The sequence below is a fragment of the Homo sapiens genome, chromosome 20 (assembly GCF_000001405.40).
Source record: "Homo sapiens chromosome 20, GRCh38.p14 Primary Assembly".
Taxonomy (NCBI): domain Eukaryota; kingdom Metazoa; phylum Chordata; class Mammalia; order Primates; family Hominidae; genus Homo; species Homo sapiens.
The window spans coordinates 38,487,250-38,504,682 of NC_000020.11; the positions used below are offsets into that span (position 1 = coordinate 38,487,250).

The following is a 17,433-nucleotide window of genomic DNA, read 5'->3' on the forward strand; positions in this document are numbered from 1 at the left end:
TTGTGGGAAAGTGGCAGTAGAAGATGAGGCTGGCAAGGTAGTGTATGCAATTCCCATTAGAATTGTAGCAAGGCTTTATTGTTGATTTTTTTTTATTTGGATAAAATAATAAATCGTATACTGAAGAATAAATGTCTAGAGAAGACAATAAAGTTTTGGAAAAAACATTCTATAAAGCCACTGAACTTAAATCATTATGGGTTGGCATGGGAATAGACAAGTAGTTGAGTAGAACAGAAGTTTCATAGATTCTAGAAGAAATGAAAATTTAATATATGACAGAATTAGTATTTCAGTTTAGTGCGAAAAGGATGTATTTTTAAGAGGTGATGCTGACACAACTGACCATACATTTAGAAGAAAGTAAAATCAGACCTTTCCTACACCACTTACAGAAGTAAATTCCAGATGAATATACAAGTTAAGTGAAAAATTATGCAATTATCTTGCAGGAAAATCTAGGAGACTACATATTCACATTAGGGTTATGTTTTCAAATTTTTGGACTAAGACCTATCATAACAAATGTATTTTCCGCTGGGCACGGTGGCTCACACCTGTAATCCCAGCACTTTGGGAGGCTGAGGCGGGTGGATCACCTGAGGTCGGGAGTTCGAGACCAGCCTGACCAATGTAGAGAAACCCTGCCTCTACTAAAAATACAAAATTAGTCGGGCATGGTGGTGCATGCCTGTAATCCCAGCTACTCAGGACGCTGAGGCAGGAGAATTGCTTGAATCGCGGAGGTTGCTGTGAGCCAAGATCACACCATTGTACTCCAGCCTGGGCAACAAGAGCAAAACTTCGTCTCAAAAAAGAAAAAAAATGTATTTTCCATTGTGACCCAGAACATATGCATATATTACAAAGGAAACAAGTTTCACAGAAACATTGCTTGCCTTTATTATGTGTGATGCCTTTATCATACATCCTATACCATCTAATTAAAACAAGTATTATCCATAACATTTATTTCATGACCCATAGTTTGAAAAACATTGATAGTTTCATGACCCACAGTTTGAAAAACATTGATAGAGGCAAGATGTTTGCAGCATTCTTTATCATGCCAATAGTCTATACATCTGTTTTATTTATTTCTGTTAATTTCCAATAGTATAATTTGACATGCATTTCTGTTTTGTCTTTTCAGGTGCCATTTGGATTGTACTTTAGTGGCACGATGTACTCTGAGTGGAGGTCACTGCATTTGGTGATTCAGAATGATCAAGGCCATACCAGTGTGCTGCACAGCTATCCAGAGAGCGTTGGACGAGAGGTGGCAAATGCTGTAGTCCGTCCTCTTGGGCAGGTGTTAGGTACCCCTTCAGTGGCTGGTAGTGAGAATTTGTTAAAAACTGACAAAGAAGTAAGTGTTTCTAAATTTCATTCTCTTATATGAAAATGTACATTTGTTCTTGAAGAATTTGTTTAATGTTAACTTTTTTGTTCTTTTTTCTTTGAAAAGAGCTGTAGTAGAATAACGTCAACTTTTTAATGGATTTCTCCCCAACGTAGTATGACTTCTCAATTTTGATCTTGTTTGAGTTGAGGGCTGGGACTCGGAGTTTGTGGAGGTTATAAGGAGTGAGTTGTACTGTTTTGCTGCTGGGACTTTTTACTAGTTATGGTCAATTCTCCACTTGAGCTGAAGGCCAAGACAAAGACTTGAATGTCAAACACTTCCCCCAAAGATCTAGGCTTAGTCTTCTGATTTCCATTTAGAGTGTGTTTGGAAGGCCTCATCCCTACCTCTGGATGGCCCCTGACTGAAGACTCATGTCAAGTTTTCAGGCTATGTGTATGCTGTGCTTAAGCTCTCCCCTGTCCCCATCCCTACCTACTCCTTCCTGGCTTCCAGGTTTAAGAGTGCTGCAGAGAAGCCAAGCCCTTCTGGCCTAAGCCTAGGTGATTGGAATTGGGGTTGTGTTTGCTGTTTCTTTTTTTTTGACAGAGTTTTGCTTTGTCACTCATGCTGGTGTGCAGTGGCACCACGGCTCACTGCAGCCTCAGTCTCTCTGGGCTCAAATGATTCTTCCACCCCAGTGAGTCCCCAGTAGCTGGAACTACAGACACATGCCACCACGCCAGGCTAATTTAAAAAATTTTTTTATAGAGATGATGTTCTTACTATGTTGCCCAGGTTGGGTGTTTACTGTTTCTAAAGATAGGGGCTCTTGGAATGGCTTGCCCTGAAGCTGGCCCTTTGTTCTTGGGTTCAGCGGCCCAGGCTGAAGTTAAAAAGTTGCCATTGGGAAGTCATGAAGGGGCCCTGAGAATGGAGTGATAGAGGAGCTTGCTAGTATAAATTCTGGCTAAGATGCAGGATTAAAACTTTGTCCCTTGTGTTGAAGAAGCTCATGCAACCTTCAGACTTCATGTTTAGCAAAACCTGTACCCTATTTCTCAGACCCTTTTTTTCTGTTTGCTTTTTGGTTTCCTGTGAAGGAGAGATTAGACTTAGATATAAGACTAAAACTTGTAGCTCTAAGGGTAGGATCCTCCTTCAGCCATGGGTCTCTGAAGAGTAAAGGTCTTCAGTCTGAGGAACATTTTTCTCTCTTCAGAGGACCCTAGATTTATCCCCGAGGACTAGCACAGGCCCTAGTGTTTCTCTTCCTGGTGCGTTTGTGATCCCTTGTTGCCTTCTCCTGGGAAGAGATGGTACGTGAGTAGATAGAGGTGCTCTGATGCAGCCCTTTTTTTTCTCCTTTCTCACCATTGAAAAGAGATGAGAATTCCTGTTTCCTCTGGAATTATACTTTTTTTTTTTTTTTTGAGACGGAGTCTCGCTCTGTCGCCCAGGCTGGAGTGCAGTGGCATGACCTCGGCTCACTGCAACTTCTGCCTCCCGGGTTCAAGCGATTCTTCTGCCTCAGCCTCCTGAGTAGCTGGGACTACAGGCACATGCCACCATACCTGGCTAATTTTTGTATTTTAAAAATGTATTTTTATTTATTTATTAATTATTATTTTTGAGACGGAGTCTCGCTCTGTTGCCCAGGCTGGAGTGCAGTGGCATGATCTTGGCTCACTGCAAGCTCCACTTCCCGGGTTCACACCATTCTCCTGCCTCAGCCTCTCGAGTAGCTGGGACTACAGGCACCCACCACCATGCCTGGCTAATTTTTTGTATTTTTAGTAGGGACAGAGTTTCACCGTGTTAGCCAGGATGGTCTCAATCTCCTGACCTCGTGATCTGCCCGCCTCGGCCTCCCAAAGTGCTGGTATTACAGGCGTGAGCCACCGCGCCCGGCCTATTTATTTATTTTTTGAGACAGAGTCTCGCTCTTGTTGGCCAGGCTGGAGTGCAATGTCGCAATCTTAGCTCACCGCAACCTCTGCCTCCCAGGTTCAAGCGATTCTACTGCCTCAGCCACCCGAGTAGCTGGGATTACAGGCATGCACCACCATGCCTGGCTAATTTTGTATTTTTTTTAGTAGAGACAAGGGTTTCTCTGTGTTGGCCAGGCTGGTCTCGAACTCCTGACCTCAGGTGATCCACCCACCTTGGCCTCCCAAAGTGCTGGGATTACAGGTGTGAGCCACTGCACCCGGCCAATTTTTGTATTTTTGGCAGAGATGGGGTTTTGCCATGTTGGCCAGGCTGGTCTCGAACTCCTGATCTCAGATGATCCACAGTCCTTGGCCTCCCAAAGTGCTGGGATTACGGTTGTGGGCCACTACGCCTGGCCTAGAATTATAAAATTAAACAACTGTGTGAAGATGCCACCAAAGATATCTTCTTGGTTTTTCATCTGATAATTAGGGACCTGCAATGTCTTTTAGAATCTCTTCTCTTATGTGGCTAAATCTTGCTACACCCTGCTCCAAATTTGTCACAGCTTCACTGTGCTGTTATAGGCTTCTTTAACACTTACTGCAGTTAAACCATGTATTTCCTACCCTTAACCTTTGTAGTTGCTTTTGAGCTTAACAAATTTAATACATATATTTATCTTGTTAGATTTAACTTTGGTTTTAAGCTGTTGAAGCCTTTTTGAATCCTGAATTTCTGTCCAACAAGTTGGCCATCCTTTTTAGCTTTGTGGTATCTACAGATGATCAGCATACACTGTTTTTCTTTTTTTTTTTCCCCTAAGTTAGAATCTTGGCAGAGCCTTTGGCATGCCACTGAGCACCTTTTTCCAAAATGATCTTGGCATGTTAATCTACTGTTACTCTGTCATGTGATGTCTTGACCAGTTGTAAATCTAGCCATTCTACCATCCTCTGGGCCATATGTCTCCATCTTGTCCACAAGGAGATCCTGGGTCTGTCTAGATTTCTTGCTAACACCCAGATACCCGTTTGCCGGAGAACTCTGTTAATGGTATGGAGAGAATAGCTTAAAATTTCTAGTTGGAAGACCAGGGTTCAAGTTTTCAGCTCCACCTTTTATAAACCAGTGACTTATGCCAAATTGCTTAATCTTGCTAAGCTTCTGTTTTCTTATGTGTACAGTAAGGATAGTTTACCCTGTCTACACAGAGTTATTGTGATGGCTAGATGATATTTATGAAAGTGCTTTGTAAACTGCAAGGACTACACTGTTGTCAGCCCTCTAAATAGTAACCCTATTAATAAAGGAATGAAGCTCATTTGGCATGGCTTGATCTTATTGAGCAGGCTGGGTCTTGGTGATCATGCTTCTCTTTTGTGAGTGTTCACTGATTGCTTAGTAATTTGTCTCAAAGTTTTGTCTGGAATTCACTTAAACTTTCCAGTTTACAATGTCTGGAATACAGTTTCCTCCCTTTTTTGCAAATTGGGGTTTCTCATAGATGGAGACATATAGCTCAGATGATGGTAGAATGGCTGGATTTATAATTGGTCAAGATACCACATGACAGAATAGTATTAGACTAATGTGCCAAAGTCATTTTGGAAAAAGTTGCCCAGTGGCACCTTCTAGTTGGAAGACCAGAATTCAAGTTTTCAGCTCCACTTTTTATAAACCAGTGACTTGGGCCAGATTATTTAATCTCTACAATTACGACTGCCGGCAGCCTAGTGGTTCAGCCGTCTCTTAGGCAAGTTCTCTCAGTCCTTAGGATGTGATTCAGCTAGGTCAGGAGGCTGGGACTCATTCAGTGCAGCTAAATGCCTTGTTAAGATCTTACCCAGCTTCAATCCTTTTTCAGATGTGTTTGTTCTTCATTTTAAGTATTATTATTATTTTTTTTTTTGGCAGAGAACAGTTGTAAAGTAAGAGTAAACAGTTGATCTTTCTTCCTGTTGTTTGTGCATTTGCATAATCTGGAGATGGAATGTGACTGACTTTATATGATTTTCTAAATGCTACACATACTTAAACATTAAGTGGAGAAAAAACTCTAAAATGTTCTATTTTGCATATCTAATCTCTATGGAAATTTGAAATGACCTGTATTTACTTTTTAGTTCACAGAGCAAATAATAATAATATCTAAAGGGTAAAAACCAGCATAGGCTTGATATTCAAAAATAAGTAATTTATTTTCTTCTTAAAGCTTTTGCTTGGGAAATTGTATGTTTGATATGTGAAAAATGCATTATCTAAAATAAATCTGATATTTACGTTGAGACGAATATACTGTCAATTTAGAGGTTTTTGGCAATAAAAGAGATTGACATTTTAAATCAGTCTACTGAGATAGGAACGTGTAATAATTCTATATGGATATTTTCTTTTGTCTAGGTAAAATGGACCATGGAAGTAATTTGCTATGGACTGACCCTTCCATTGGATGGAGAGACTGTAAAATATTGCGTTGATGTATATACAGACTGGATTATGGCTTTAGTGTTGCCAAAAGATTCTATTCCATTGCCAGTTATTAAAGAGCCTAATCAATATGTTCAAACTATACTAAAACACCTACAGAATCTTTTTGTACCAAGGTAAGCTATACCTGTCTATCTGGCCCATTATCAGGGTCATAGTAAAATATTCATAAACGTTACTATAGTATAGGAGCTGATTTCATTGTTAGTCCTCTGAACAGTGACTTCATGTGTTCAGTTAAAGATTGTATTAATGTGAATGTTAGGAGAGATGGGCTTATGTAATGTTTACTAGGAGTTTTTAACAGGTATGTGTTCTTTAAAGGTTTTTAGCTTTGCTTCTAAAATCTCATACCTGTTAGATATTAAAATACTGTAACATCTTTCCCTTCTACTCAAAAAAATATACTTTTGCCTATCACAATTCTTGTTTCCATTTAGGCTAAACACAACTAAGGGAGATGCATCTACCTTAATAGGCATCTTTCCTATGAGAGAGTGAAGACACTTGAAATGATTATGGGCAAATTGTTAGTAAGCCAAAAGATTCCTCTTGATAGTTTGTTTCTGATTTTTTTTTCCATCTTAGGCAAGGGCCTTAAATATCATAATATAGGGATACCTTCAAGGAGCAGTAGAACATGTTTCCTTTTGGTAAAGTTCTGGTTAGAGCTTTTGGTCTGTCATACGGTGAGGGACTTTGAAAACCAGCTCTGTAAGTTTTTAACTTTCTAAATATAGAAGGGAGATTACTTTGGAAAATCTGAATTAAAAAAGAGAAGTCTCCAGAACTCTGGTCTGTAGGCTCAGGTGTAAACAGCATACCATGCATGAAATGCCTGGTGTAGTCTGGCCCCTAACTAGACTAGCTGTTCTGAATTCTGCGTGAGTGCTGCTCTGTAGTCAGACTCGTAAGTCAGACATTCCTCTAAGACCTCCTAAAGATCTTTCCCATCATGATGTCTTTTTGTCTTCTTCCTCTTCCTTCTCTCCATCACCACATCTCATTCTTGTTGGTTCTTTAATTCTGCCTTGTGAGGAGAAGTCCTACCTAACCACTCAGGCCCACAGCGATCACACCTTCTCTGAACCTATATGATACTTTCTGCATCACTCTTGTATCTCTCACTGTTTTATTGCTTATCTTTTAAAATGTGTGTCTCCTTTCCCCATCTAACCAACTCAAAGGCAGGAACTCTGTTGTCTCTATTTTAGGCTTCCACAGTATCTGGTGCAATACTGGTATTTTAATACTTAGTACTTATCTTAGGTGTCAATTAAATGCGTGTTGTTTGTATTTATTGATTTCACATGGAATTAAAAACAGGAAATGGGCCGGGTGCAGTGGCTCACGCCTGTAATCCCAGCATGTTTGGAGGCTGAGGCGGGTGGATCACCTGAGGTCAGGAGTTCCAGACCAGCCTGGCCAACATGGCGAAACCCTGTCTCTACTAAAAATACAAAACTTAGCCGGGTGTGGCGGCATGTGCTTATAATCCCAGCTACATGGGAGGCCGAGGCAGGAGAATCGCTTGAATCTGGGAGGCGGAGGTTGCAGTGAGCCGAGATTGCACCACTGCACTCAGCCTGGGTGACAGAGCGAGACTCTGTCTCAAACAAAACAAAACAAAACAAAAAAAACAGGAAACGGTTGGGAGTACTTAGAATATTGTTTATAAGCAGGTTCTTCTAAAATGGTGTAATAGTTTTAATACTTTCTTGTTATCTTATTTAGGAGCCTACTAGGCTTTTTCTTCGTGCCTGGGATAGTCTCATGAGTAGTATTGTCACTGTGTCTCTTTCCTCTTTGTAAGCCTACTACCTTTCAGTGCTCAGTTAATTTGTATTGATGAAAAAAAATTAATGGCATTTGAGTTAATTAGGCTTGTGCCTTTACTTTTCTCTTTTGAGAAACATGACTACCTTATAAATGGTTTTGCTATTTGGTAATTACCTTGTTTTCTCAAAAGTATGTGTGCATAAGTGTTAGTAAATTCTGAGAGGGTACTCAACTGAGAATTAGAGTTCTCTTCCTGGCTAATGTTTTAGGAAAATTAGCTGAATATTTTCAATGGTAAGTATTGGTGTTATGATCTCATCTCCCATTATTTGAAGTTTTAGTTGTTTATTTGATTCTGATAGTTCACAAAACTGTCATCTAAGTTTACTTAATTAGTTGTTTTTATAAAAACTGACATTCAAAATGGAGGGAACTGCCTTTGCCATTTTGCTAGAGATTATGTCAGAATGAATGTAACATTTCTCTTTTGCCCATCAGTTTGATTTTTTTTTTTAAGATTGAGTGAAGAGTAAATCATCTTTTAAAGTTGGTTAAGGTTTTAATTGCTCACATATACTATACTGTACTTTAGAAAAACATATTATTGTTCTGAAGCAGGGTTAGCAAAGAGTCAGATAGCATTTTAGGCTTTGCAGGTCATATAGTGTTATAATTAGTCAGTTCTGCTGGTGTGGCATGAAAGCAGCCATAGACAATATATAAATGAATGATCATTACTGTGTTCCAATACAACTTCATTTACAATATAGATAGTAGGCCAGATTTGTAAACTCTATTTACAATAAAAGATGGCAGGCCAGGTTTGACCCATTGGCCAGCATTCACCACCACTGTTCTAAAGCAGTTTTTCTGAAAATCACAAGTTACATTTTAAAAAGTAACTTGATATTTTTGAAAGGGAAATCTCTGGTGTTTAGCTCTTCTGTTTTTTTTTAATGTAAAGGTTACCTTGTTTCTTTTAGCTTTAGAACTTTGGACCCTGCCTCTGAATTTAGGCCTTCTGAATGAGGAGGAAGGAGCCTCAGTACCTGAGGAACAGGTATTTCCTTTCCTGTCATTGGGCAAATACCTGGAAATGGTAGGTAGACCTAAGTTACCATGTAGGAGGCATGCACTCTTGGAAGGGTGTCAGTCCCAGGGCCATTAGTGGTATTTTTATTTCTTATTCTGGGCTTCCTCTTATATTACTTGATTAGGTTTGGGGCTATGCTATAGTTTTTTATTCTTCTTCAAGTAAGCCAGAGCAATAGACACAAGCTTGAGCCTTAGGGCTTTACATGGACTAGATCCACCTTTACTAGATCCACCTTTAGCTGAATGTGGAACATCTCCCCGCTCCTGGAGGTGCTTGGCTCTTCCTAGGCAATTTTCTCATCATTTTGCTTTAGGTCTGACTTCTTTAGGGAAAACTTAGTGGTGTCATTTGCTTGCAACTCTAGGGTAAGTGTCGTTTTCTGCATCATAGCCCAGAATCTGAGAATCTCTCTTCTAAGGTTGGGTTGACAGTTCTAAGGGAACTCACTTCATTTTCTGGAATTTCTTGAGGAAACTCCCCAGTCTGATTCAGGTATGTTTCTATCAGTTCTTTGTGACAAATGACAATATGTAGAAACTTGGCCTCAAGACTTTTTTCAGTAATATTAGATACTTCTCTTGGGTTTCCCATAAGAGATCTGGAGGCCAGCTTACCACTTGCTAATACAATGGGTTTCCTACTATTCTCAAAATTCTCAGTGGTCTACTTTGGAAAGTGAGGGTAAGGGCTGGGACCTGGACCTCTATCTTCATCTTCAGTCCTAGCCAAAATACTTTGATCTGTTTTATAGATCATTCTTCTTTATAAGATTTCCCTTGGAAAAAATGGTCCTGCGGTGAGTTTTAAAACTGTTGTTCCGGGGTATCCTGGGAAACTTGGAGCCTCCATCTTTGGCTAAGTGTCTTTTTCTAAAATTAGAGCAGCAGTAGCAGGTATTTATTTCTGAAGCAATGCCTGCATACCTCATTAATTTTGGGGACCTATTAGGCTATTCCTTCTGGCTTGTAGGCCCTTCTCTAACAGACCTTAGCTTCAGAGGGACTATGAGCACTGTAAAATCACATGCAGAATTCTTGCAAATATGTGTTTAAAAAAATTAAAAAAGAATACCAAGGCCATTCTGCTTCAATGTGAGCAGCAAGGGTGGCGGTGGGTATTTACTTGTTCATTCAACAAAAACCTATTGAGTGTCTGCTATTATGTGTTAGGCACATGTTAGACATAGAAAATCCAGAAGTGAAGTTTATGTTCTAGTATTCCCGCCTTCCTCCCAGAAGCTTTCGAGTTCTCATAGGAGTGGTAGGTTTAGATTCCAGAGTGCTTAACTTTACGACGAGTAAGAAGTAGCTTTAAACTGAAGACGGTATGCCTAGCCCTCTCTGCTGATAATATTAGGGAGCTTCATTGGACCACTGCTTGCTACATCCATAAGTCACCTGTCCTGAAGCTGTTGCTGTCTCTCCTCCAGGCTTGTCAGTGATATCTGTCTGTCTTCTTCAGACAGGAACAGGGTTCCAGTCAGATTCGACTATGCTTACAGGTCCTGAGAGCCATTCAGAAACTGGCCCGTGAGTCATCTCTCATGGCCCGAGAAACTTGGGAAGTCTTACTGTTGTTTCTTCTGCAGATTAACGACATACTTCTGGCCCCACCAACTGTTCAAGGTTTGTTTATTTTTTTTTTTCTAATTTATTTCTGAGCTCCAAATACAGTTCATCTTTAAACTCAGTGAGCGGTAGACTCATTGGGGATTTAAATTTTGGCATGATGGTTTACAAACAAAGGTTAACAGTTCTTAGAATGGAAACTCTCAGGCACAATATAACTTTAGCCCTGATGAAGTTATTTTACCTTCAGTCATGATTTTGCTAATGTAGGGAGGGACTCAGTGAATTATGCATGTTTGATAGTGATGGGAGCAGTAGCTTGTTTAATAGGATAGGCCAGGCGTAGTGGCTATAATTCCAGCACTTTGGGAGGCCAAGGCAGGTGTATCACCTGAGGTCAGGAGTTCAAGACCAGCCTGGCCAACATGGCGAAACCCCATCTCTTCTAAAAGTAGAAAAATTAGCCAGGCGTGGTGGCACACACCTATAATTCCAGCTACTCAGGAGGCTGAGGCAGGAGAATTGCTTGAACCTGGGAGGTGGAGGTTGTAGTGAGCCAAGATCGTGCCACTGCTCTCCAGCCTGGGCGACAAGAGCAAGACTCTGTCTCAAAAAAAAAAAAAAAAGAAAAGAAACAATTAACCAATTAAATTAGAGCCTATAGATAATATATTACAAAGTAGTTATCAAAGTAGAGTCTGAAAACTTGGTAGTGACAAGATATTTTACTCAGCAAATGAAACCTCCAAAGTCTTTTAACTGTTCTATTTGGAAGTGTGCCAGTTTGCTATTCATTAGCTAGCCATTAAATGCCTCCAGTTTTATAAGACTTTACAGTGTATTTCAGAATCCCTGCTTTGTATATAGCACAGTGTATATAAACTATAAGTTGATCATCTAGTTCCAAGTTCTCTTGTTGCTTATTCATTGGTGTACTCTGTTGACTAACACATGTGAGTGTGCTTGTGTTCTCACACAGATGCAGTATTCAGGGAAATATCTAAAAGGAAGCATGGAATTTCAGTGTGGGAAGGGATGCAATGATAGTAATACTCTGTCTGGTATTGACAATAGCTGGACAGTCATTGATTCATCACCTCTCTGCTACTTACTCCCCATGCCAGGGGTCTCAACAGCATGAGGCAGACAATTCATCCCCCTCCTGGGCTCTTTGTTGTTGAAACTTTGGTTTTGCTCATTTGAAACACACATTCTTACAACTTTTCCTGTGAGTCCCAACTTTGCCTTCTGGAGCTATGCGGTGTAAAGACCACTGCTGTTTTTCCACCTGGTTCCAGGGCTTAGAACAGGGGAACAGCCCCATTTTCATGGTTAAGGCTCTGTCCTTCCCAACACCAGTCCTTTTGCTCCATTATTTGTCTCTCTGTCTCTCTCCCTTGAAGGGTGGCTTTCAAATACTTGGAGCATTGTATGGCAAAGTTTGGAGGTAAAAAGACATGGGTGTTTGTTGTGATTCCTTCACTTACTGGCTGCATGAAGTCGGAGAAGTTACTTAAACTTTCTGAATCTAAGTTTTCTCATCTTCAAAATGGGTATAATTAGCAGTTGGTATTAGGTATTACAGATACCTACCCTGCAGAATTAATGTGAGGATTATATGAGGTCATTTGTATGAACTATTTGGCATAGAAACTGACTCATAGTAGTCAGTCATCATAGGCAGTCATCCTTTTCCTTCTCCCCTGTGTCCCTCTGTCCCCCTTGCTGGAGGATTAAGGCCTTCAATAAGAACTGAACAGGGCAACTTGAAATCTTTCAAAGTAAAAATTTTTTGATGTGTCTGTGATTTTGGGTACAGGAACTCCTAAGAATTGCTTCTCATTTTTACTATTAAATGATTATTTGAAAGTCAAAACTTAATATTGCACTTATTTTAATTTTTTGACCAGTTCTCCCAAATCAGTGTCTTAAAGATTCTGCTTTAAAAATAAGTTTGCCAAAGATGTGTTTTCTTTTTGTTGGTAAGGTGGCATTGCTGAGAATCTAGCAGAGAAGTTGATTGGTGTTCTCTTTGAGGTGTGGTTACTAGCTTGTACTCGGTGCTTCCCAACACCTCCTTATTGGAAAACAGCCAAGGAGATGGTGGCTAACTGGAGGCATCACCCAGCAGTGGTGGAGCAGTGGAGCAAGGTCATTTGTGCACTCACTTCCAGGTAGGTTATTGTCATTGCCCTGCCTTCCTTCACCTGTCTGACCTTAGGCAGCTTTCTGGCATTCATGGAATACATTATAACAAAGGCTGGGTCTGTTATTACTGTACTTTAGATACAGAATTGAGCCACTTTTTAAATATAGATATAACAGTTTGGCTAGTGCCTGTTTAAAACATTTCAGAATAATCAAGTATTCTTGAGAAACAGATAAATTTTATACCCTACTTCCCCCACAAAAAAATTCCACTCTTATTTTGATCATTAAAATATGCATGATCATTAAAATATGCCTAATCATTATTTTAAAGAAACAAACCATAGAAAGATATAATAGAAAAGTTCTCCTGAAATCCTACCATGTATATTTATATATAATTTTACAGGAATGGGACCATATTATACATGCTACTTTATAACCAAAGTAGGCAGTTTTTTTATAATAATAATTTTACCTTTTTGCCATTTATATTTAATACCATCGCTGTTTTATAAGTACACTCTTAGGTTCATTTTTTTCAGACTTATTTTTTCATTTCAATCGTGATTTTAATATGCAAGCATACCTTGTTTTATTGCACTTGACTGTATTGAGCTTCACGGATACCATGTTTTTTTTTTTTTCCAAATTGAAGGGTTGTGGCAACCCTGCATCAAGCGAGTCTGTCGGGTGCCATTTTTCCAACAGCATATGCTCACTTTGTGCCTCTGTCATATGTTGGTAATTCTTGCGTATTTCAAACTTTTACTGTTATGGTGACCTGTGATCAGTGATCTTTAATATTACCATTGTAATTGTTTTAGAGTGCCACGTACTACACCTATATAAAATGGTGAACTTAACTGATCAATGTTGTTTGTGTTCTGACAGCTCCACTGACCAGCTGTTTTCCGTCTCTTTCCCACTCTTGAGACACAATGATACTGAAATTAGGCCAATTAGTAACTCTATAATGGCCTCAAAGTGGTCGAGTGAAAGGAATAGTTGGATGTCTCTCACTTTAAATCAAAAGCTAGAAATGATTAAGTTTAATTAGGAAGGTGTGTTGAAAGCCAAAACAGGCTGAAAGCTAGGCCTCTTGCACCAAATGGTTAGCCAAGGTGTGAATGCAAAGGTAAAGTTCTTGAAGGAAATTAAACATGCTACACCACTGAACACAGGAATGATAAGAAAGCAAAACAGGCTTATTTATGATATGGAGAAAGTTTGAGTGGGCTAGATAGGAGATCAAACCAGTCACAACATTTTCTTAAGCCAAAGCGTGATCCAGAGCAAGGCCTAACTGTCTTCAGTTCTATGAAGGCTGCGAGAGGTGAGGAAGCTGTAGAAGAAAGCTTAGGAAGAGGCCGAGGTTGGTTCATGAGGTTTAAGGAAAGAAGCCATGTCTATAACGTGAAAGTGCAAGCTGAAGCAGCAAGTGTGATGGAGAAGCTGCAGCAAGTGATCCAGATGATCTAGCTAAGATCATTGACGAAGGTGGCCTCACTAAACAACAGATTTTCAGTGTGCATTAAACAGTCTTGTATTGGAAGAAGACACCATCTAGGACTTCTATAGCTAGAGAGGAGAAGTCAGTGCCTGGCAAGCTGAAGCCAGTGCTCATTTACCATTTGGAATATCCTAGGGCCCTTAAGAATAATGTTAAATTTGCGCTTGCCTTGGCAGCCTATATACTAAGAATGATGTTAAATTTATTCTGGCTGTGTGCAGTGGCTCACACCTGTAATCCCAGCACTTTGGGAGTACGAGGTGGGCAGATTAGTTGAGCTCAGGAGTTTGAGACCACTCTGGGCAACTTGGCAAAAGCCCATCTCTACAAAAAATAGCCAGGTGTGGTGGCTTGCGCCTGTAGAACACACCTCCCAGGTTCAAGTGATTCTTGTGCCTTAGCCTCCCGAATAACTGGGATTACAGAGGTGTGCCAACATGTCCTGCTAGTTTTTGTATTTTTAGTAGAGGTGGGGGTTTCACCATGTTGGCCAGTCTGGTCTCCAACTCCTAGTCTCAAAACAATCCACCCATCTCAGCCTCCCAAAGTGCTTGGATTACAGGCATGAGCCACTGTGCCCAGCGTGACTTTCAAATCTTAAGAAATACAGCTGACCATTGAACAACATGTATTTGAACTGTGTGGGTCCACTTACATGTAGATTTTTCTCAATTAAAAATAGTGGAAAATTTTTTTTGAAATTTGAGACAATTTGAAAAAATGTGCAAATGAACCGTGTATCCTAGAAATATTGAAAAAATTAAGAAAAAATTAGGTATGTCGTAGGCATAAAATATATGTACATGCTAGTCTTGTATCATTTACTACCATAAAATACACACAAATGTATTATACTAAATTAAAATTTATTAAAACTTATGCATACAAATGCTTATAGACTATATACATGATACCATTTGCAGTAATGTAAACAATAGGTAAAGAAATGTAAACAAACATAAAAGCTGCAGTATTAAATCATAATTGCATAAAATTAACTCTGGTACATACTGTACTACTGTAATAATTTTGTAGCCACTTCCTGTTGCTATTGCAATGAGCTCAGGTGTTGTGAATATTCACTGAAAACTCCATGTGACACTAATCATCTCTGCTTGAGCAGTTAATCTCTTCAGTAAATAGTGTATCTCAGTAAAAAGTGATGTCTCAGTTTTCATTTATTTTTCGTCATATTTAATTTACAATACTGTAAACCTGGAATAAGTAATACCATGAGACCCATAGGAAGTGCCACCAGTGGTGCTGGAAGTGCTCCCAAGAAGCAGAGAAAACTCATGACATTACAAGAAAAAGTTGAATTGCTTGATACGTTCTGTTGTTTGAGGTCTGCAGCTGTGGTCACCTGCCAGTTCAGGCAGACAATTGACTTTGTAAACAGATGACATAAACTTATGGTATCAATAAACACAGTACAGTGCTGTAAATGTAAATGTGTTTTCTCTTTTATATGATTTTTTTTTGTTTGAGACAGTCTCACTTTTTCACCTAGTCTGGAGTGCAGTGGTGCGATCTCAGCTCACTGCAACCTCTGCCTCATTGCAGCCTCTGCCTCCCATGCTCAAGTGATTCTCGTGCCTCAGCCTCCCCAGTAGCTGGGATTACAGGCGTGAGCCACCATGCCCAGCTAATTTTTTAGTATTTTTAGTAGAGTCAGGGATTCTCCATGTTGGCCAAGCTGGTCTCTAACTCCAGGCCTCATGTGAGCCGCCCCACCTCTGCCTTCCAAAGTGCTGGGATTACAGGCATGAGCCACTGCGCCTGGCCCTTTTTTATGATTTTTTTTAAAGAGGGGGTCTTGCTGTGTTGCCCAGGCTAGAGTATAATGGCTATTCACACCTCCTGGGCGCAAGCTGTTTAGATTGGTGCAAAAGTAATTGCGGCTTTTGCCATATTTTAATTACTTTTGTACCAACACAATATCTTCTGCTTCAAGCCTACAAGTGTCTGGGACTATGGGTGTGCTGCTGCATCTGATTTTCCTTATGATTTTCTTAATAACATTTTATTTAGCTTTCTTTATTGTAAGAATACCATATATAATACACATACAAAATATGTATTAGTTATTTGTTATTGGTAAGGCTTCTGATTAGAAGTAGGCTATTAGTAGTTAAGTTTTGAGGGAGTCAAACATTATACATAGATTTTTCAACTGTATGAGGGGCCAGCACCTCTAGTCCCTATTGTTCAGGGGTCAACTGTACATTCTGTAAGGTTATAGCTACCATATCAACATTAACAGGAGTTTGGAAGAAGTTGATTCCAACCCTAATGAATGACTCTGAGGGGTTCAAAGCTTCAGTGGAAGAAGTCACTGCAGATGAGGTGGAGAAGTAGCAAGAGAACTACAAATTAGAAGTATAGCCCAAAGAGATGACTAATTGCTGCAATGTCATGATAAAACTAATGGTGAGGAGTCTTATGGATGAGCAAAGAGTTTCCTGAGGTGGAATCTACTCCTGGTATAGATGCCATGAACATTGTTGAAATGACAGCAAAGTATTTAGAATATTACATAAGCTTAATTGGTAAAGTAATGGCAGAGTTTGAGAGGATTGACTCCGATTTTGAAAGAAGTTCTACTATGGGTAAAATGCTATGAAATGGCATTGCATGCCACAGATAAATTTTTTGTGAAAAGAAGAGTCAGTCCATGTGGCACACCTCATTGTTGTCTTATTTTTAAAAACTGCCACAGCCACCCCAACCTTCAGCAGTCACCTTCCTGATCAGTCTGCAGCCATCAATGAGGCAATACCCTCCACCAGTGAAAAGATGACTCTAGATGACGCAAACAAATGGAAAAACATTCCATGTTCATGGATTAGAAGAATCAAAATCATTAAAATGGCCATACTGCCCATAGCAATCTACAGATTCAACACTATTCCTGTCAAACTACCAGTGCCATTTTTTCACATAACTAGGAAAAAACCTATTCTAAAATTCATATTGCAACCAAAAAAGAGCTCTAATAGCCAAAGCAAATCCTAAGCAAAAAGAACAAAGCTGGAGGCTTCACATTACCCACCTTGAAACTATACTAGAGGGCTACAGTCACCAAAACAGCATGGTACTGGTACAAAAACAGATATATAAACTAATGGAACAGAATAGAGAACCCAGAAGTAAAGCTGCATAACTACAGCCATCTGATTTTTGACAGAGTCAATAAAAACAAGCAATGGGGAAAGGACTCTCTATTCAATAAATAGTGCAGGGATAACTGGCTAACCATATGCAGAAGAATGAAACTAGACTCCTACCTTTCACCATATACAAAAATTAACTCAAGATGGATTAAAGATTTAAATGTAATACCTCAAGCTATAAGAATACTAGAAGAAAACCTAGGAAACACTATTATGGACATTTGCCTTGGGAAGGAATTTATGACTCAGTCCTCAAAAGTAATTGCAACAAAAACAATCGACAAGTGGTACCTAATTAAACTAAAGAGTTTGCACAGTAAAAGAAACTATCAACAGAGTAAATGGAAAACCTACAGAATGGGAGAAAATATTCACAAATTATACATCTG

General features: G+C 39.5%; 1 protein-coding gene across 11 annotated transcripts in view; it reads left to right on the forward strand.

Moving 5' to 3' along the window:
- Positions 1-17,433, forward strand: part of RALGAPB (Ral GTPase activating protein non-catalytic subunit beta) — a 106,016-nt gene that overhangs the window by 14,407 nt on the left and 74,176 nt on the right. For 10 of the 11 annotated variants that reach the window (NM_020336.4, NM_001282918.2, NM_001282917.2 and 7 more), the window contains 4 exons: positions 1,154-1,369; positions 5,681-5,883; positions 10,104-10,267; positions 12,198-12,384. In NM_020336.4, the coding sequence (NP_065069.1) occupies positions 1,184-1,369; positions 5,681-5,883; positions 10,104-10,267; positions 12,198-12,384 (740 nt within the window). In that variant the 5' untranslated portion in view covers positions 1,154-1,183. Of the gene's footprint in view, positions 1-1,153; positions 1,370-5,680; positions 5,884-8,529; positions 8,607-10,103; positions 10,268-12,197; positions 12,385-17,433 lie in introns of those variants that run through there. The other variant, XM_017027968.3, reaches the window with a different exon arrangement.